The 21,706-nt window shown below is 48.8% G+C and overlaps 1 protein-coding gene across 2 annotated transcripts in view, besides 4 other annotated features; it reads left to right on the plus strand.

Moving 5' to 3' along the window:
• BICRA (BRD4 interacting chromatin remodeling complex associated protein) overlaps positions 1 to 21,706 on the plus strand; it is a 95,082-nt gene that overhangs the window by 33,931 nt on the left and 39,445 nt on the right. The window lies entirely within an intron of this gene.
• Positions 3,571 to 4,151: an enhancer, noted in NCBI's record as "H3K27ac-H3K4me1 hESC enhancer chr19:48148954-48149534 (GRCh37/hg19 assembly coordinates)". NCBI's record gives its function as "activates a minimal SCP1, AML or CMV promoter by ChIP-STARR-seq in primed H9 embryonic stem cells {active_cell/tissue: H9 hESC(primed)}" and the evidence as "EXISTENCE:reporter gene assay evidence [ECO:0000049][PMID:30033119]".
• Positions 8,475 to 9,181: an enhancer, noted in NCBI's record as "H3K27ac-H3K4me1 hESC enhancer chr19:48153858-48154564 (GRCh37/hg19 assembly coordinates)". NCBI's record gives its function as "activates a minimal SCP1, AML or CMV promoter by ChIP-STARR-seq in naive H9 embryonic stem cells {active_cell/tissue: H9 hESC(naive)}" and the evidence as "EXISTENCE:reporter gene assay evidence [ECO:0000049][PMID:30033119]".
• Positions 18,726 to 19,227: an enhancer, noted in NCBI's record as "H3K4me1 hESC enhancer chr19:48164109-48164610 (GRCh37/hg19 assembly coordinates)". NCBI's record gives its function as "activates a minimal SCP1, AML or CMV promoter by ChIP-STARR-seq in primed H9 embryonic stem cells {active_cell/tissue: H9 hESC(primed)}" and the evidence as "EXISTENCE:reporter gene assay evidence [ECO:0000049][PMID:30033119]".
• Positions 19,228 to 19,727: an enhancer, noted in NCBI's record as "H3K4me1 hESC enhancer chr19:48164611-48165110 (GRCh37/hg19 assembly coordinates)". NCBI's record gives its function as "activates a minimal SCP1, AML or CMV promoter by ChIP-STARR-seq in naive and primed H9 embryonic stem cells {active_cell/tissue: H9 hESC(naive and primed)}" and the evidence as "EXISTENCE:reporter gene assay evidence [ECO:0000049][PMID:30033119]".

The raw sequence follows: 21,706 nt of genomic DNA on the forward strand, positions 1-21,706 counted from the left end.
TCTGTTGCTCAGCATAGTGATTTTGAAATTCATCTATGTTATGTGTACCAGTAGTTCATTCCTTCTTTTGCTGGCAATATGCCATTATGCAGATATAATTTTTTCATCCATTCACCTGCTGATGGACCTTTGGGTTATTTCCAGTGTTTGGCTGCCATAGATGATGCTGCTTGAACATGCCTGTACGAGTCTTTGTGTGGACCTATGCTATCATTTCTCTTGGGCAAATACCTAGAAGTGGATTAGTAGGGTCAGATGATAAGGGTATGTTTAATTTTGTTAGAAACTGCCCACCTGGGCGCAGTGGCTCACACCTGTAGTCCCAGCACTTTGGGAGACTGAGGCGAGAGGACTGCTTGTGCCCAGGAGTTTGAGATCAGCCTGGGAACATGGCAAAACCCAGTCTCTACCAAAAATACAAAAAAATTAGCCAAGCATGGTGGCACGCGCCTGTAGTCCCAGCTACTCGGGAAGCTGAGGCAGGAGGACCTCTTGAGCCCTGGAGGTGGAGGTTGCAGTGAGCCAAGATCATGCTACTGCACTCCAGCCTGGGTGACAAAGTGAGACCCTGTCTCAAAAAGAAAAGAAAAAAGAAAAAGAAAAAAGAAAGAAAGTGCCAAATATTTTTCAAAGCAGTTGTTTACCACCAGCAATGGATAAGCATTCCAGTTGCCCCACATCTTCCCCACCACTTACCATTATCAGTCTTTATAATGTCAGACGTTCTAACGGGTATGTAGTAATATCTCATTATGGTTGTAGTTTTAATTTCCCTGATGACTAAAGATGTTGAACATTGCATTGATTTATGGGCTGTTTGCATACCTTCTTTTGCTCATTTTAAATTGGATCATTTGTTGTCTCTTTTGAGACGGAGTCTCGCTCCAGGCTGGAGTGCAGTGGTGCAATCTTGGCTCACTGCAACCTCTGCCTCCTGGGTTCAAGTGATTCTCCTGCCTCAGCCTTCTGAGTAGCTGAGATTACAGGCGCCCTCCACCATGCCCGGCTAATTTTTGTATTTTTTGTAAAGACAAGGTTTCGCCATGTTGGCCGAGCTGGTCTTGAACTCCTGACCTCAAGTGATCTGCCCACCTCAGCCTTCCAAAGTGCTGGGATTACAGGCATGAACCACTGTGCCTGGTCTGGAATTCTTTTAAACAGCCCTTTTTCTGGATGCTAAAAATTGACCTACAAAAGTAACTCTGTAACCAACCCAAATACATCTGGGGCCCCGGTGTGCTGCCCCTGACTGACAAAGTGAAGGCTTTGAATGTGGCTCTTTCTGCATCCTAGCGGCTCAGTCCAGGCCCTGGAGGGGCATCTGTCACCTGGGACACTGGCAGCATCCCTGGCATCCAGCCATGACCATCCCTTCTCACGGCGGGGCTGCTCACGGTGCTGTCCCTGGGGTCCCTGGCATTAGGCTGTGATGAGGTACTGGGGACACCAGCCTCCCACTGGGTGGCTGTGGACAGAAGAGCTCAGCAGAAGCCACACTGTCTGACTTTGAGCAGCCTGTAGGTTAGCTGAGAAAACAAGGCATACATTTTCATGGTTTTGCTTTTCTCGTGGTGGCCCTAACAGTTAACATCGGTTGTTTGCCATATCGGGCTCTGGACTCACGAAATCCTGAAATGGCCCCGGAAGCATGGGCAATGCTGAGAATATTTAAGCGTCCAGAGCCCCACCAGAACCCAGGCTGGCTGCGAGACTACCACATGCGTGTTCAGCTGGAACACCACTGACCTGGGGGGGTTAATTCTGTTCCGATGTCCATTTTGTAGACCTAGAAACTGAGGAACAGAGAGGGAAGTAACTTGCTTCAGGTTGCACAGCCAGGAGGCACAGAGCATGATATAGAGAGACCTTTACCTACATTCACCAACCTTTTATTTATTTCTTTATTTTTTGAGACAGAGTCTTGCTCTCTTGCCCAGGCTGGAGTGCAGTGGGGGGATCATGGCTCACTGCAGCCTCTACCTGCTGGGCTCAAGGGATCCTTCCACCTCAGTCTCCCAAGTGGCTAGGACTACAGGTGTGCCCATGATGCCCAGCTAATTATTTCTTCTTCTTTTTTTTTTTGCAGAGACTTAGGTGCCCAGGTTGGTCTCAAACTCTTAGCCCTTAGCCTCAAGTGATTCTCCTGCCTCAGGCTCCCACGGTGTTGGGATTACAGGTGTGAGCCACTGCACCTGGCCCAGATTCACCAACTTTTAATATTTTGCCACATTTCCTTTCTTTTATTTTCTTTGCTTTTCCTTTTCTTTTCTTTCTTTCTCTCTCTCCTTCCTTGCTTCCTCCCTCCCTCCCTTCCTCCCTCCCTCCCTCCTTCCCCTCCCCTTTCCCTACCCCTTCCCCTTCCCCTACCCCTTCACCTTCCTTTTTTTTCTTTCTGATGGAATCTCACTCTGTCACTCAGGCTGGAGTGCAGTGGCACACTCTCAGCTCACTGCAACCTCTGCCTCTTGGGTTCAAGCAACCCTCCTGCCTCAGCCTCCAGAGCAGCTGGGATTACAGGCGCCCGCCACTATGCCCAGATAAGTTTTGTATTTTTAGTAGAGATGAGGTTTTGCTATGTTGGCCAGGCTGGTCTCAAACTCCTGGCCTCAAGTGATCCGCCTGCCTTGGCCTCCCAAAGTGCTGGGATTCCAGGCGTGAGCCACCGCGCCCGGATTTCATTCCATATGCTTTTATTTCTACAGGCCAGTAGAGCAAAAGGTTTTCTGTCTGCAGGTCTCAGTTTACTCTTAAGGAAAATGAACCAGTTTCACCTGAACTCTACACACACACACTTCCTCTTTCTCTCTCTGTCCTGTGTTTCTCCTAAACGATTTGAGAGTAGGAATGACACGAACGTGCATTTCCAAAGAACCATTCTCTTATGTAACCACAGGACAGTTATCAAATGCACCTTGTTGAACATTGATTGATACAACACCATTAATGCAGCCACTCTCCGTATTCTGGCTCTGTCAGTTCTACTAACGTCCCTCAGAGCCGTATCCTCCCCACCCCGATGTAGGATGAGGTTTGGAATCACGCCAGTTGCATTTACTTGTCTGGTCTCTTTCAGTCCCTTCATTCTGGAGGGTTTCCTCAGCCTTTCTTTGTGTTTCATGACGTTGACATTTTAGAAGGGTCCAGGCCAGTTATTGTGTAGAACGTCTCTCATTTTCAGTTTGTTGGATGTTTCCTCTCAGTGAGATCCAGGCTACGCATCGCTGGTTGGAATTTCCAGAGCCTGTGTTCTTAACCACCCTGAGGTTCTGCCTTTGAAAGGGACATTCTGGTTCCTTTCCAAAGGGCTGGTCATCATCTTGTCCTTGTTCTGGCAGGTGGTGCGTTCAGCTGGACAACCCGCTGCATTCATAATATTGGGGTCATATAATTTCAAGAAAAGGTTAAAGAAAAATGGTCTCTTAACATGAAAAGGTCATAGAGGATCATTAGAAGGAGCAAAAGAGGAAAGGGGAGGGAGCAAAAAAGAAACTGGAATATACAAAGTTCCAAAAACGCAGATAACACAAAAGTAGCTTGTAATCCTGTCACTCCTGGGGTAGAGCAAGTATGTTAATGTTTGGGCATATTTCCTTCTGATCTTCCTTCTGATTGGCTCTTCCTCTTGCCCTCAGGCATTCAGTTTGCACAGTTGACAGGAGAGACATATTTTGAGAGCTGAAGACTGAGATTCCAGGTGCAGTGGCTCACGCCTGTAATCCCAGCACTTTGGGAGGCTGAGGCAGGCAGATTGCTTGAGGCCAGGAGTTCAAGACCAGCCTGAGCAACAGAGTGAGACCCCGCCTCTACAAAAAATTAAAAAAGTTAGCCAGGCGTGGTGGCATGCGCCTGTAGGCCCAGCTATACTGGAGGCCAAAGCAGGAGGATCTCTTGAGCCCAGGAAGTTGAGGCTGCAGTGAGCCATGATTGTGCCACTGCACTGTAGCCTGGTTGACAGAGTGAGACCCTGTCTCCAAAAAAAGAAAAACGTAGAAAGAAAAAAGAAAACTCAGGGCAGGGGGGCGTCAGCCAGGGAGGTGCATTTTGGGATCTGGCAGGGGGTGGAGGAGGGGTACGTCCAGCATGCGGAATGCTCTGCCCACTGAGGGCTTGTGTCCCCAGACCTGGGATTTCTGCCTCACAGTGTGGACACCAGGGTCCTCAGGGGAGCAGAGATGGGTCCCTGCTGGAAACTTCCCTATGTCTCCAGAGCGCCTGCAAAAATCTCCAGAAATCGCCAGCCCCTCGTGAGTTTGGAGTGGAGGCTTTTAATCAAGTCCAAGGGATCAGCTCAGCCCGACACACATGCACACAGACACACGTGTGCGCGCACACACACACGGCTGAAACACCATGCTTAAGAACATTTCTCCCATGTGTTTTACTTTTTGAGCCTTAGCCCGGGGATTTGAGAATAACAGCTATTCCTGAGAGTACTTCCCGAGCACATCCTGGGAGCTCAGGTCACGCACTTCACCCGTATTAATTCGTTTAATCCTCCTGACAGTCCCTTGAAGGTGAGACTGTTACTATCAGAAATGGAAATTGAGACACAGCGAGGTGAAGTAAGTCAAGGATTCCTACAGAAAAGTGTAAAATATGCTCATTTCATCCAGCAATTATAAAGTAACACTCTCACACACAGTTATTCCTTTTTTTTAACAGCTTTATTGAGATATAATTCACATACCATACAGTTCACCCATGTAAATCGTTCACCACAGTTTATAGTGTGTTTGCAGAGTTATAACCATCACCATAATCTATTATAGAACATTTTCCTCACCTCAAAAAGAAACTCTGCATCCCTTAGCCATCATCCCCACTCCTTCTCCCCCTCCCAGCCTCCAGCAACCACAAGTCTACTTTCTGGCTCTGTGAATTTGCCTATTTTGGACATTTCGTGGAAACAGACTCTTACACGACGTGGCCTTTTGTGCCTGGCTTCTTTCACTCAGCGTGATGTTGTCAAGGTCCCTCCGTGTGTGTCAGTGTCTCATCCCTTTTCATGGCTCAGTAATACTCCATTGTATGGATAGGCCACATTTTGTTTATCCGTTCAGTTGGTGGACATTGGAGGTTTTTTTTTTCCAGTTTGCACTGTTCTGAATGATGCCGTATGAATGTTTGTGTGCAGGCTTTTGTGTGGACACTTGTTTCCATTTCTCCTGGTTTCTACATGGGAGTGGAATTGGTGGGTCACAGGGTAACTGTGTGTTAACCTACTGAGACCAGCCAGACTCTTCCACGGCAGCGGCACCCTTGTATATCGCCCAGCAATGCATGAGGGCTCTGATTTCTCTATCATTTTGATGATTCATCCATTGTCCTGTTGATAGGATCTGGGTTGTTTCAGTTTAGGGGTGCTATGAACATTCTAGAATGTGTTTTGCGGTCCACCTCTGCCCCGCTATGCATAAAGTTGGGATTCCATAGACAGTAGGTCCTGTTAGGTAACAGGAAAAATGATCTGTGGGCTCCTCTCTCTCCTTGGCACGTGTGTGTGGCCCACGTTGCATGTTCTTGTAGAATCCTCCTTCCCGGGTGAGGATTGGAAGCCATGATCGCCTGCCTCTGTTGCTGGTTTTAGTCTTTAACCCTTGCTCTGTGGACTTGAGAAATGTGCTTTTCCATGGTGCCTGTGACCAAGATGTCCGCATCGTTAGTGAAGACCCTGCTATGTCCTTGACCACACTGCACGGGGATCCTGTCCACGATGGGGGGTGTCCTGTTGGGCTTGAGTGTCTAGATATGGAGACCGTAGTTCGCGGGGGGAGTGGGGGGCCGTTTGGCATATTTGCCCTGGCATTTGGGGTTGTTTATTGGGGGTGGGAGTGCTCCTGGCATTTCCTGGGCGGGAACTACTGGTGTAGACCTACTGGATTAACTTGCTCCTGGGTCGGTGTGCGGGATAGGGGGAGGGTGCATCAGTCTTTGTGGAGCGTCTGCCTTCTCTCCGTCTCCCTGTTTTCCTGTTACCGTCTCCCCGTCCCTCTCTCTGTCTCTCTGAACTGCTCGTTCCCTCCTTGCCTTCTGTGCCGATGCCCAGTTGAACTGCCCATCCCTATAGATTGGGCGTCTCTGAGCCCGCAGTGGCTGCCTGAGCTGTAACCCACCCCGTGCCCTTTCACCTCCTCTCCCGCCTCCAGCTGACCAATCCCTGGGGTTTCTGGTCGGCCTGTGGATGTGTCCCGGTCAGGCCTAGGTCAGGCGCCTGACAGCGTCACCTGTGGCCACTGAGAATCATCCTCCTTCAGGAGTCCCAGTCAGTCAATATTTACACAAAGCGAACAAAAAGAAACCTGGAGCTCACCACTCTTGGGGGAGCCAGGCAGGAGCTAAGATAAGTCCCATTTATGGCCTGTCAGATAGCGATCGGCACCTGCAGTAAAGCAAGCAGGAGAGGGACTGGGGGAGGGCTTGTGACTACAGACGGCCCTGGTGACACTCGAGAAAAGGAAGGGCATGGCTGGGAGTGGTGACTCATGCCTGTAATCCCAGCACTTTGGGAGGCTGAGGTGGTGGATCACCTGAGGTCAGGAGTTTTTTTTTTTTGTTTGTTTTTTTTTTTTTGAGACAGAGTCTTGCTCTGCCACCCAGGCTGGAGTGTAGTAGGCTGATCTTGGCTCACTGCAGCCTCTGCCTCCTGAGTTCAAGTGAGCCCTGGGCTCTCCTCCCTCAGCCCCCTGAGTAGCTGGGACTACAGGCGTGCACCACCACGCTGGGCTATTTTTTTTTTTTTTTTTGAGGCGGAGTCTCACTTTGTTTCCCAGGCTGGAGTGCAGTGGCACGATCTTGGCTCACTGCAAGCTCCGCCTCCTGGGCTCACGCCATTCTCCTGCCTCAGCCTCACAAGTAGCTGGGACTACAGGCACCCACCACCACACCTGGCTAATTTTTTGTATTTTTAGTACAGACGGGGTTTCACCATGTTAGCTATGATGGTCTCAATCTCCTGACCTTGTGATCTGCCTGCCTCGGCATCCCAAAGTGCTGGGATTACAGGCGTGAGCCACTGCACCCGGCCTAATTTTTGTATTTTTAGTAGAAATGGGGATTCTCCATGTTGGCCAGGCTGGTCTCAAGCTCCTGACCTCAAGTGATCCACCTGCCTTGGCCTCCCAAAGGCTCGGATTACAGGCATGAGCCACTGTGCCTGGCCTGTATGTTATTAATATTATTGTTAATCTTTTCATTTATTTGTGAGCGCTGTTATATGCCCTCTGTATCTTTTGTGAGGATTAATTTAGTTAAAAGTTGATCTCATAATATATAAGTCAACACAATCAGAAATTCAAACAGGAACGTATTGACAAGCAAAGGAATGTTACTGTCTCTGCCTCGAAGATCTTGTGTCCTGCCTGGAGACACTTCACTTCCCCACTCACCTGCCACTGTCTGCTCAGTGTCAATGTATTGATTACCTGTCCAACAGAATCTATTTTATCTCTGAGGTTAGGGAATTAGTAGAAATTGATATCCTACTAATGGAATAGAACAGAGAGTCCAGAAGGAGAACCAGGCACATTAAGACATGGTATGAGGTCGATATGGCCAATGGTCAGATTTGTGGGGAAACAAGGGACTCATAATAAATAGAGGTAGGGATCAAAAGTAAAAAGGTCATCCACAGGTGGAAGGAGATGAAATCAGATCCCTACCTCACACTGTACAGCAAAGCCAACCCCAAGATTATTGAGTACTCAAAGTCAAATATAAACTTGGAAGCTGCTTAGACTTTGGGGTAGGGACAGATTCTGAAATGAGATTTAGGTTAGTGTAAAAGTAATTAGATTTTTTGCCATTAAGTGCAAAAGTAATTGCAGTTTTTGCCATTACTTTTTTTTTTTGAGACAGAGTCTCTGTCGCCCGAACTGGAGTACAGTGGCACAATATCAGCTCACTGCCACCTCCACCTCCAGGGCTCAAATGATTATCCTGCCTCAGCTTCCTGAGTAGCTGGGATTTACAGGTGCATGCCACCATGCCTGGCTAATTTTTTTGTTTGTTTGTTTGTTTGTTTTTTGAGGTGGAGTCTTGCTCTGTCACCTAGGATGGAGTGCAGTGGTGCAATCTCGGCTCACTGCAACCCTCCACCACCCAGGGTCAAGTGATTTTCCTGCCTCAGCCTTCCGAGTAGCTGGGATTACAGGCACCTGCCACCACCCCGGCTAATTTTTTGTATTTTTCATAGAGACAGGGTTTCACTATGTTGGCCAGACTAGTCTCAAACTCCCGACCTCGTGATCCTCCCGCCTTGGCCTCCCAAATTACAGGGCTGAGCCACGGCACCTGGCCAATTTTTGTATTCTTAGTAGAGACAGGATTTCACCATGTTGACTAGGCTGGTCTCGAACTCCTGACCTCAAGTGATTCTCCCACCTTGGCTTCCCAAAGTGCTGGGATTAGAGGTGTGAGCCACTGTGCCCGGCCAGTTTTTGCCATTACTTTTAATGGCAAAAGGTGCAATGATTTTTGCACCAACCCAATATAAAAGGTGTTGCTCTGAGAGGGAGGTGTGGAGTTCTTGCCCATAGCTGCCACTTCAGTATTTCTCCTTCTCTGAGGCTCTGGGCAGCCCTCCCTGCTGTGCCCTGGATTGGGGTCATCTCTTCTCTTAATAAGGTGATCAGTAGCTTTGGGACCAGCAGAATGCATTAGAGGGAAATGGGCTTCACTGAAGAGGGCAGTGGATGAGAGGAAGGAGCATGTGTGAGGGCTTGTGTGCACCACACATCCTGACACCATCCGCCCAGCCCGCACAGCCTGACACCATCTGCCCGGTCCACCCATCTTGACACCATCTGCCTGGCCCACCCGGCCTTCTCAAATGCTGGAGGGCTCTTGGCTCTGCTGTTCCCTTACACTCCTTGGCCAATCCATCTGCAAACCCTCTTGCTCTGCTATTATGTCCAGAATTTGACTGCGCCTTGTCCCCTCCGCTGTCACCATGTCTCCTGCCTGGACCATTACCGTCGCCCCCTCTCTGTGCTTCCGTCCTCACCTTCTGCAGTCCGTTCTCCACTCTACAGCCAGAAGGAACCTGTGAACACCCAAGTCAGGTCATGTCCCTGCCCTGTCCGGAGCCCTCCCTCAGCCCTGGGCTCACCTGGAATAAAAGCTGAAGTCCTCGCCCTCGTTGTCTGTCTGACCTCGCCTCTCCTGCATGCCTACTCATGCTCACGCCCTCATCACTGCCCGTGGTCCCTGAGGCGCCCACGTGATTCTGCCTCAGGACCATTGCATGTCCTCCTCCTTCTGCCTGGAGCCCGCTCTCCTGGGGTGGCCACATTGCTGCTCCCCTTACCTCCTGCACATCCTGTATGTACCCCAGCCCTCCCCAACCCATTCTTGGCATCCTTGCCCTCATCTTCTCCTCGGGACGCTGTCTCTTGGTTCAGGGTCTGACTCCTGCCGGTAGAACGTGAGCTCTGGGAGAGCAGGGATGACTTCCTCACTCCCAGCACCATCGGGAAAGCGTTTGACTTCTCTTTGTGGAGCAGTAGGGATCAGTAGGGAGCCCTAAGAAGGGGAACAGCACGATCTTAAATAAAATAGGTCGCTCTGGCCACCAAGTGGGGAACTGAGTTTAGAAGTGGGAGGTCAGTTAGAAGTCCCTGCCACCCTCCAGGCAACGAGCACGAGAGGGTTGGGCAGACAATGCTGGTTCCAAGACCTAGAGAAGGGTGGGCTGGAGTTATTTAAGAGACAGGAGGAATGGTGGCATCTTTGAGCCAACCAGCGTTGGCTGATTCCCACAGATGGCGCCACTCCTGGCTGTGATGTGGCTGCAAACCCACGGCTTGCCCGGGACCTGCTCTGGGACAGGAACGTTTGAACCGCACCAGGTCAGCATCTGAAGGTGTTTGCTGTAAGACCCAGGCCTGTGACTCTGCCAGCCCAAACCCCTGCCAGGTCCTGGGCAGATGTCGGCCTGCTGTCACTTCTCTGGACTCTAAGGCTTTTTTGCCTGTGTGGCATGTGAGAAAAATAGGGGAGTGATTAGGAAGGCTCATGCAGAATCCAGGTAAAAAACTATTTCAGGTATGGAAGGGTGGAGGGGAGGAAGGTCATCTGGAGTATTTTTTTTGAGACAAGGTCACCCAGGCTGGAGTGCAATCGTGTGACCATGGCTCACTGCAGCCTCGACCTCCCAGGCTCAAGCAATCCTCCTACCTCAGCCTCCTGAGTAGTTGCAATCAGAGGCATGTGCCACCACACCCAGCTATTTTTTTAAAAAATTTTTTAGAGAACAGGGTCTCACTATGCTGCCCAGGCTGGTCTCAAACTCCTGGGCCCAAGTGATCCTGCTCTCTTGGCTCCCAAAGTGCTGGGATTACAGGTGTGAGCCACTGTGCCCGGCCTGTCCAGACTCTGTATAGACATCAGCAGTCAGGCAGTGTGGCATCTTGGAAAGCAGCCAAGGCTTTGGTGTCCAAGAATCCCAGGTTCTAATCTCATTGCTTCCTCTTACTACTCGTGGCTTTTTAGCTTGTGTGCATTCGGCTGCAAGTAACAGTTGACTTGACCACTGATGGCTTAAATACTCTCTTATTTTTTTCAACAAATATTTCTAAATTTAGTTTTTGAGATGGCTAATTCACCAAGCTGAAAAAGCAAAAATTATTTTGAAAACTATGCAGTGGAACACCTCCTATTCCTGTTCCGATCTGCCAGGTCCCTTCATAGTTAGTCATTGTGTTTAGTGTCATATACACCCTTCCTGAAGTTCTTTAGGCATTGAAAAGCATTCAGAATATGTATCATGTCTCCTTCACCCTTTTCTTAAGCAGATGGTAACGTTTTACACACACCCTTCTACATTTTACTTTTCCATGTAGCAGTAGTCTGGGCGATCTTTCCCTATCAGTACACAAAGAACGTCCTCATTCTTTTTTTTTTTTTTTTTTTTTTTCCGAGACAGGGTCTCGCGCCGTCCGCCAGGCTGGAGTGCAGTGTTATGTTCTCAGCTCACTGCAACCTCCACCTTCACTGGCTCAAGCGATCCTCCGACCTCAGACTCCAGAGTAGCTGGGATTACAGGTGCTCACCACCACACCTGGCTAATTTTTGTATTTTAGTAGAGATGGGGTTTCATCATGTTGGCCAGGCTGGTCTCAAACTCCTGACCTCAAGTGATCCGCCTGCCTCGGCCTCCCAAAGTGCTGGGATTATAGGCATGAGCCACTGTGCCTGGCCTCATTCTATTTTTTTTTTTTTCAAGGACATCTTTACTGACATATTCACATACCATAAAATCCACCCATCTAAAGTGTACCAATTCAGTTGTTTTCAGTATATTCACAGAGTTGTGCAGACATCACCACAATCCATTTTAGAACATTTTCATCATCTCAAAAAGAAGCCGTACTCATGAGCAGCCGCTTTGAATTTCTCCCTCCCCGCAGTCCTTAGCAACCACGCATCTACTTTCGGTCTCTCTGGGTTTGCCTATTCTGGACATTTTGCATAAATGGAATCATGGAATATATGGCCTTTGTGCCTGGCTCCCTTCACTTGGTGTCATGCGTTCCAGGTTCATGCATGTTGGAGCGTGTGCCAGTGTTCCTTCCTTCTTATGGCGGAGTAATAGTCTGTGATATGGATACACCACATCTGTTTATCCGTTCATCCACGGACGGGCATTTGGGTTCTACCTTTTGCTTCTTGCAAGTAAAGGTGCTGCGGATGTTCACAGGCCAGCCTTTGTTTTGTTTTGTTTTTTTGAAACTGAGTTTCGCTCTTGTTGCCCAGGCTGGAGTGCAGTGGCGCAATCTCAGCTCACTGCAACCTGTGCCTCCCAGGTTCAAGTGACTCTCCTGCCTCAGGCTCCCGAGTAGCTGGTATTACAAGCGTGAGCCACCGCACCCAGCCTTGGGCCAGTTTTTGTGTGGACATATGTTTTCGACTCTCTTGGGTCTATAAGTAGGAGTGGAATTGCTGGGCCACGTGGCAACTCTATGTTTAACTTTTGGAGGAACTGCCAGGCGGGTTTCCACAGCAGCTGCAACCTTTTACAGTCCTACCGACAGTGAGTGAGCATTCGTGTTCCGCCACACCCTCACGAACACTTGCCCTTGTCTGTCTCTTTGATTTGAGCTATCCTAATGGATGCGAAATGGTATCCTCTGGTTCTGATGTGCACTTCCCTGGTGGCTAATGATGTTGAGTATCTTGTCATGGCCATTTGTATACCTCTTTCTTTTTTGTACAGCTGCATACTATTCCCCTGTTTAGAGAAACTGTAGTTGATTTAACCTGTTTACTACTGCAATAGTCCTGCCCAAGAAATTAAAAAAAAAAAATCAACCTGTTTACTACTGATGGCCAGTGGGTTGTTCCCAGTATCTTGCTATTATTATTATTATTATTTTTTGAGACGGAGTCTCGTTCTGTCACCCAGGCTGGAGTGCAGTGGCACGATCTCAGCTCACTGCAAGCTTTGCCTCCTGGTTTCACGCCATTCTCCTGCCTCAGCCTCCCGAGTAGCTGGGACTAAAGACACCTGCTACCGTCTTGCTATTATTAATAGAAACATAACTGTAAGGCCAGGGCATGGTGGCTTATGCCTGTAATCCCAGCACTTTGGGAGGCTGAGGTGGGAAGATTACTTGAGCCCAGGAATTCAAGACCAGCCTGGGCAACATAGCAAGACTCCATCTCTATGAAAAAAAAAAAAAAAATCACAAAACAACACACCTGTAAAAGCCCCTAACTGTATAATTTTGGTCGTGTCAATGGTACCTGCAGGATATGTTCCCATAAGTGAAGTAGCCAGGCAGAGGGTGAATGCGTCTTGATCTTAGTGGGTATTGTCATGTGCAGGGGGTCCTCATTATTCCAAGATATCATATTTGCAGATTTCATCTAATCGCCAACGCTTACTCATAACCCCAAAATCAATAACGCACAATGCTTTTCCCATCATTTATGGACACTCACAGAATAGCAAAAAATTTGAGTCACCTGGTGCACACATCTCCAGCTGCAGTCAAGCAACGCCACACCCTGCTTTCTTATTCTCTTACTATAAACAAGTGTCCTTTTTGTGGTCTAGTTAGTGCCATGTTTTCTATATTTTTGTGCTTTGTGATTTTGCTGTTTAAAATGTCCCCAGTTTGGCCAGGCGTGGTGGCTCTCACCTGTAATCCCAGCACTTTGGGAGGCCGAAGCAGGTGGATCACCTGAGATCAGGAGTTCGAGACCAGCCTGGCCAACATGGTGAAACCCTGGGTCTACTAAAAATACAAAATTAGCCGGGCGTGGTGGTGCATGCCTTTAGTTCCAGATACTTGGGAGGTGGAGGCAGGAGATTCGCTTGAACCTGGGAGGTGGAGGTTGCAGTGAGCAAAGATCACACCACTGTACTCCAGCCTGGGCAACAAGAGCAAAACTCTGTCTCAAAAAAAAAAAAAAAAAAAAAAATTAGTAAAATGTCCCCGGTTTAGGACAGGTGCAGTGGCTCATGCCTGTAATCCCAGCACTTTGGGAGGCTGAGGCGGGTGAATCACCTGAGGTCAGGAGTTCGAGACCAGCCTGGCCAACACGGTGAAACCCCATCTCTACTAAAAATACAAAAAAAATGAGCTGGGCTTGGTGGCGGGCACCTGTAATCCCAGCTACTCGGGAGGCTGAGGCAGGAGAATCCCTTGAACCTGGGAGGTGGAGGTTGCAGTGAGCCGAGATCGCTGCACTGCACTCCAGTCTGGGTGACAGAGCGAGACTCCATCTCAAAAAAAAAATAAAAATAAAAATAAAAATAAAAACGTCCCCAGTTTAGTGCTGAAGTGCCGTCTAATGTTTCTAAGCTCAAGAAAGCTATAATGTGAGGCTGGGCATGGTAGCTCACGCCTGTAACCCCAGCACTTTGGGAGGCCAAGGTGGGAGAATCGCTTGAACCCAGGAGGTCGAGACCAGCCTGGGGAACATGGTGAGATCCTGTCTCGACACACACACACACACACACACACACACACACACACACACACTCTGAATAAATAAGTAAATTTTAGAATTAGCCAAGCGTGATGGCGCACACCTAAGGAGGACCACATGAGCCTGGAAGGTCAAGGCTGCCATGAGTTCTTTTCACACCACTGCACCCCAGCCTGGGCAACAGTGAGACCCTGTCTCAAAAAAACAACGAGAAGGCTGTGACGTGCCTTTCAGAGAAAATACACGTATTAGAGAAACTGCATTCAGGCACAAGTTAGGGTGCTGCTGACGTGAGGCTCAGTGTTAATGAATCAAAACTATACATTAAATAAGGTGTCTTCGAACAGAAACACACATAAGCCAAGGTTTTATATTGGTTGGTGAAAGCATTGTGGCCAGAGGCTTTCAGGAACCTAACTTTGTATTTCCCCCAGGAGACATGGTTAATGTCTAAGTATTTGCTAATCCAATGTTCACAGTCACTTTTTAGATTCTGTAATATATAGAACACAGCCACCTGGAATAACGATCAATTGCACAGGGGTTTTTTTTCTACATGCTAGGGGTGCTTTACTGGGTTCTAATTTATGTGCAGTAAAATGCACAAAACTGAAGCGCGCAGCTTGATGTTTTCTGACAAATATTACCTGTGTAAGCATCACTCAGCTCTAGCTAGAGAACACGTCCATCATCTGAGCAGGCTCCCTTATAGCCTTTCCCAGTCATTCCTGCATCCCTCCCTTGAAGCGGCCACACGTCTGATATTTTTCCCCCACTATAAATCAGTTCTGGATATTGTAGATTTGTTTGGTTTTTTTTTTAAGATGGAGTCTTGCTCTGTCGCCCAGGCTGGAGTGCAGTGTGGCGATCTCGGCTCACTGCAACCTCCACCTCCCGGGTTCAAGAAATTCTCCTGCCTCAGCCTCCCGAGTAGCTGGGACTACAGGTGCCCACCACCACGCCCAGCTAATTTTTTGTATTTTTAGTAGAGACAGGGTTTCACTGTGTTAGCCAGGATGGTCTCGATCTCCCAACCTAGTGATCTGCCTGCCTTGGCCTCCCAAAGTGCTGGGATTACAGGCGTGAGCCACTGCGCCGGGCCCATGTTCTAGATCTTTACACAAATGGACTCACACAGTGTGTAGACTTTTGTGCCAGGCTTCCTTTGCTCAGCATGATCCATTTAAGACCCATTTGTATTGTTGCTGTAGAAGTCCTTCATTCCCTTTTACTGCCAAACTGTATTCTGTCGTGTGGATGTAACAGTGTATTCATTTACCTGTTGATGGCTTTCTGTGCCATTTACAGTTAGGGGCTTTTATGAATAAGGCTGCTGTGAAATTTTTTTTTTTTTTTGAGACGGAGTCTTGCTCTGTCGCCCAGGCTGGAGTGCAGTGGCATGATTTCGGCTCACTGCAAGCTCCGCCTCACAGGTTCATGGCATTCTCCTGCCTCAGCCTCCCAAGTAGCTGGGACTACAGGTACCCACCACCACTCCCGGCTAATATTTTGTATTTTTAGTAAAGACGGAGTTTCACTGTGTTAGCCAGGATGGTCTCGATCTCCTGACCTTGTGATCCGCCCACCTCGGCCTCCCAAAGTGCTGGGATTACAGGCATGAGCCACCATGCCCGGCTGCTGTGAAAATTTTTGTACAGGTGCTTTTGTGGACATACTTTTCACCTCCCTTGAGTAAATACCTTGGCGTGACATTGTTGGGTCATAGAGTTGGTATATATTTAACTTTACTTAATCCAGGCTTTAATTCTCTTCTGGGACAAGATGTCTAGGAGAAGGCCATTCCAGGGATGTTTGGCAGCTGAGGATTGTCAGGCCAGTAGGTCAGTGTCCCTCTTATACTCTCTCTCTCTCGTTTTTTTTTTCCCTGAGTCTGTTTTGCTAGGGAACCTCTGATTCTCTTGACCTTCCCCTCAGGAATGCATAATGGCTGCTGCGGCACCAGTCATTGTCATTATATTCATAGCAGTCTTTCAAGCAAAAAGGAGAGGGAGCAAACAGTCTTCCCAAGACAAGATTCTGCCTCTTTAGCCAAATGTGAAAACTTTCCCATATCCATTCTGAGCTGCAAGGGAGTCTGAGGAAGAAAGTTTCTGGCCAAGGAGCAGGGGTCTGCACTCACTATGGTCTGTCCTCTGTTGACCAGGATGTTGGGGCTGGAAGTGTTTGTCAGACCCTGGGCAACTTCTAAATTAGCCTTCCTGAGCCTCAGAGAAGACTCGGTGGGACCACTTGGTCAGGGGCCTGGACCTTGACCAGGAACTGGTGGCTTGTGTTTGATACAAGAACAAGAACCCCAGAAGGAAAACTAAAGAGACAGAAGCTTCTAGGCCGGGCATGGTGGCTCATGCCTGTAATCCCAACACTTTGGGAGGCTGAGGTGGGCAGATGACTTGAGGTCAGGAGTTCGCCAGGCGTGGTGGCGAGTGCCTATAATCCCAGTTACTCCTGAGGCTAAGGCGGGAGGATTGCTTGAACCGGGGAGGCAGAGTTTGCAGTGAGCTGAAATCATGCCACTGCGCTCCAGCCTGGGTGACAGAATGAGACTTCGTCTCAAAAAAAAAAAAAAAAAAAAAAGCAGCAGCAGCTTCTAGAACAGTGGTTCGCAGAGTGTGGTCTGTGCCAGCAGCATCAGCATCACCTGGGAACTCATTAGAAATGCAGAGTCTCAGGCCGCACCGGGACCTGCCGATTCCCAGATTCTCAAATCTGTATTAGGAACCAGTGGTCTACAAACCCGTGCGCACGTCTTGGGGAACGTTTGTTTTCCCCTTTGCTTCCCTTAGCTGCATTTTTTTCCCCTGAATTCGAAGCCTGCTTCGTTGCCTGATGACGTGTGAGTCCCTGTGTCCGGTGAACATAATCATTTCTTTTGTATTTCCGCCACCCACCCCGAATGCCTGTACTTTACCCTCTCCCAGGGTTTTTCCTGTTTCTCATAAGCCAGCATTGAGAAAAATCCAAACCCTTTTGAGATACCTGGTTTTCTTGGCAAGACTGCAGCTTTATAGCTGTATTTAGAACAGCGTCGAATGGTGAAAAGGGAAAAGAGAAGATGCATAAAACATTTCTAGTTTGTAACTACCTGTATAAAATAGGCTTTTAAGAGCCAGACATCAGTCGCTTTATGAGCAATCTAAGCTTTATGGGGCCCACTTTATTTGGTTAAACTAATTCAATGATTTTAGAGATCTAAAGGTCACTAAAAATAAAGATGGTGTAGATTTTAATTGCTCTTCAAATTGCTCTTTCTCTGTCTTTCCCAACAGGGGTGGAGGTGGGTGAAGAATCAACATTTTTTTCCCTGTTTTCCTTTTCTAGCTTTAAAATAGACACATCATGCAAGCGGCTACATATCCAGGGCCCAGCCAGCTCTTACGGGGCTTTTTCATGCAATTGAAAATGGTGCTTTGTCCGAGAGGGCATGACTCTGTGGTGTGTCCTTTGTATGAATTGGGAAAGGGGACTCCTTTCTCCATGTGGATGCCACCCTTCTCTGGGGCTCATAGGTGTGAGCAGAACCTGGACTGGATTTGATGCCCCACTTGCCCCTTTGTCTGGATTCCTTTGTGCAGTGAACAACCTGTGCAGCTGTACATGGTGGTGCATACACACACACACACACACACACACACACACACACACACACACACACACGTTCTCTTCTCTTCTCTCTTTCTTTTTCTTTTTTGAGACAGGGTCTCCCTCTGTCACCCAGGCTGTGGTGCAGTGGCATGATCTTGGCTCACCACAGCCTTAGCCTCCCAGGCTCAAGCAATCCTCACACCTCAGCTTCCCAAGTAGCTGGGACCACAGGTGCACACTAGCATACCTGGCTAATTTGTAAAATTTTTTGTAGAGATGGGGTCTCACTGTGTTGCCCAGGCTACATATATATCTTCTATACTCTGTACGTATTGTATGCGTCTCTGTCTTAGAAACTTACATGTACATTAGTTTCCCATTGTCGCTGTAACAAATACCACAGATGCAGGATCTTAAAACAGAAAACTATTCTCGTATAGTTCCAGAGGCCCTAAGTCCAAAATGAGGGTGTTAGCAGGGCCACTGGGGTTGTCAGAGCTGTGCTCCCTCAGGAGGCTCTAGGGAAGAGCCTAGAGCCTTCTTCGCCTGGTCCAGCCCCCGGAGCTCTAGGTGGTCCTTGGCTCGTAGCCACGTGACATTAAGCTTTGCCTCCTTCTTCACATGGCCTTCTGTTCTTCTGTGACTTCTCCTTTGCTGTTAAGAGGACATTTATCATAGGATTTTGAGCCTACCCAGATAATCCAGGACAGTCTCATCTCAACATTGTTAATCTAATTATGTCTACAAAGACCCTTTTTTCCAAATAAGGATGGCCACATCCACAGGTTCTGGGATGTTTACATATTTTTTGTGGTGGGAGCCACCATTCAACTCACTACAAAGGCCTTGGAAATACATCCTAAGAGCTTAACTTCTAGGCGTCATAGCATGTTAAGTCCACGTACCAGGTGAACACATCACCTCATTTGTCTGTCTGACCAAGGTTCACGGGAATGACTCATTCGAGGCATTTCAGGACAACTAAAGGGATAGAGGACCTGGCCGGGTGAGTGGCAGAGGTGGGGAACCTGTTGTAGTACACCCCTGCTGTGGGGGGTGGAGGGAGAGATGGCCAGGCTGGCATCATCATGTAGTTCCCACGGGCTTAGGAGTCTCAGCTGGGTTCAAATCCTGGCTCTTGGGTGACCTTGGGCAAGTACCCAACCCTTTTTGGCCTCAGTCTCCTCATTTGTGTAATGGGCATGAGGATAATGGCATCTGCCTTATAGTGTTGCTGTGAGAATGAAATGATAAGATGAAGCACTTTGCCGGGCGTGGTGGCTCACGCCTCTAATCCCAGCACTTTGGGAGGCTGACGCGGGCAGATCACGAGGTCAAGAGATTGAGACTATCCTGGCTAACACAGTGAAACCCCGTCTCTACTAAAAATACAAAAACAAAAAATTAGCTGGGCGTGGTTGTGGCGCCTGTAGTGCCAGCTACTCAGGAGGCTGAGGCTGGAGAATGGCGTGAACCCGGGAGGCAGAGGTTGCAGTGAGCTGAAATCACGCCACTGCACACCAGCCTGGGTGACTGAGCGAGACTCCGTCTCAAAAAAAAAAAAAAAAGACGAAGTACTTAGTAAGCATTCAGCAACCTTGGCTGGGGTGACGAAGATGATGAAGTCAGAGGTGGCCGTAGCCAAGGGCTCATGGGACAGAATCTGACCCATCAAATGCCCAGACTCCCAAACACCAGGGCTCATAGCCACGTGGCCCAGGCAGAGGTTGGACTCGTAGTTGGGGCAGGTCCAGTCGGTGGCCAGCGAGGAAGGGGGTTCGCGGGGAGGAGCAGAGGCCAGAGGGAGCCGGGCCGGGGAGGAGGGCTTTCTATGGTCGTTTACACATGGCATCTCGGTGTCCAGTGTGGGGCAGGCATATAGGAGGAGCTGAGGCTGCTTGGGCAGCATTTATTTACCAATCGGTAGGTCAGCTTTTGAGTATTTTAATGGCAGGAGCAGCCAGATGTCAATAAGCCAAATGTGAACCCAGGCTTGGTGATGAGAAAATACATTTACTACATTTGGGCCAGAATAGTGGTCATGGACAGGAGGGCACTGACTGGAGAGATATGGGAGGTGGGATGGATAAAACTTGGATGAGTCAGATGTGGGGTCAAACTTGGTTCCTAAGTCCCCAGAGAGAGCTGTATCAGTGAGCTGTCACTACATAACACACAGCCCTGGCTGGGCACAGTGGCTCATGTCTGTAATCCCAGCACTTTGGGAGGTCAAGATGGGAGGATCGCTTGAGCCCAGGCATTTGAGACCTGCCTGGGCAACATAGTGGGACCCCGTCTCTGCAAAGAATTAACCAGGTGTGGTGGCGTGCGCCTATAGTCCCAGCTCTTCAGGAAACTAAGGTGGGAGGATCCCTGGAGCCCAGGAAGTCAAGGCTGCAGTGAGCTGTGATTACACCACTGCAGTCCATCCTGGCCAACAGAGCGAGACCCTGTCTCAGAAAATCAAAATAATAATAAACAGAAAAAAGAAAACCATGATCCCAACGGTTAGAATTTGGACTGGGCGTAGCTAGGTGCTTCTGGCCTGGGCTGGGTGTCTGTAGTCAGCTGTTGGACAGCTGGTGACTGCGTCTAGGGCTTGGCTGGCTGTTAGCTGGGGTGATGGGGTGATGGGCACGTGGCTCTCATCCTCTTGCAGGCCAGCCTGGGCTTCTTCACCTGGCAGCTGGGCAAAGACTGGAAGTGTGCCAGGCTCAGAATCACACACCATCGGCCAGGCTCCTTGGCTCATGCCTGTAATCCCAGCACTTTGGGAGGCCGAGGCGGGCAGATCACGAGGTCAGTTCAAGACCAGCCTGACCAACATGGTGAAACCCCGTCTCTACTAAAAATACAAAAATTAGCCGGGTGTGGTGGCACGCACCTGTAATCCCAGCTACTCAGGAGGCTGAGGCAGGAGAATCGCTTGAACCCGGGAGGTGGAGGTTGCAGTGAGCCGAGATCATGCCACTGCACTCCAGCCTGGGCAACAAGAGCAAGACTCCATCTCAAAAAAAGAATCACACACCATCACTTTCACCACATTCTGTTGGCCAAAGCAAGTCAAGAAGCCAGCCCAGGGTCAAGGGCTGAAGTCATAGACCCCACTTCTTAATAGGAGGAGCTGCAAAGAGTGTGGGACGAGGGAGGAGAATTTCTGGCCACTTTGCAATCAACCACAGTGGCCTTTGTTTCAGATCCCCTTTCCACCAGCCCTCTCACATTTTGTTTGACCTCTCTTCTTAATCAGTGACCCACAAAGAACAGCCCTTGACCCATGTGAGAGGCCTTGCCATGGGTTGCAAAGAAAATCCAGAAATGGGAGCTCTTTTTGCGTCAGGTTGTATTTGTCTGCAAATAATGGGAAACCACATAGTGGCTTAAACCATAAGGATTAACAAGTTTGGAGGCGGGCAGCCCATGAAGAGTTATGAAGAGTACAGTCAGGCCGGCGCGATGGCTCACGCCTGAAATCCCAGCACTTTGGGAGGCTGAGGCGGGTGGATCACTAGAGGTCAGGAGTTCAAGACCAGCCTGGCTAACGTGGTGAACCCTGTCTCTACTAAAAATACAAAAATTAGCCGGGTGTGGTGGCACGTGCCTCTAATCCCAGCTACTCAGGAGGCTGAGGCAGGAGTCACTTGAACCTGGGAGGCGGAGGTTGCAGTGAGTCAAGATTGCGCCACTGCACTCCAGCCTGGGTGACAGAGCGAGACTCCGTCTCAAAAGAAAAAAAAGAACACGGTCTTTTTGTCAGCTCCCATCAACCATCCTCTGCTGGTGGGCTTTTCAGCCTCAGGTTTGTTGTCCCGTGGTTGCAAAATGGCTGCCACAGCTCTAGTCATCTCAACTGTATTCAAAACTGGAAGCAGGAGCAAAAGACTGTCTTTCTGGAGAAACTCTGTCTTTGTATTCTGGAAGGAAAACTTTCCCTGAAAGTCTCACTGAGCAGAACCTGTCTGTACACTTCAGTTTTTACTATTTGCACAACTGTGGTTACTCTAACTGCAAGAAAGGCTGGGAAAGTGAGTGTCTGATAAAGGAGATAGGAATGCCTCTGGCTTAGTTCAATTATTTTAAGGCTATTTTGACCACAACTCACAGTCCAAAATATGTTTCTTTGTGTCGCAGTACACACACACACACACACACACATTATTGAAACCAATTT

Source organism: Homo sapiens, chromosome 19 (assembly GCF_000001405.40).
Source record: "Homo sapiens chromosome 19, GRCh38.p14 Primary Assembly".
NCBI lineage: Eukaryota > Metazoa > Chordata > Mammalia > Primates > Hominidae > Homo > Homo sapiens.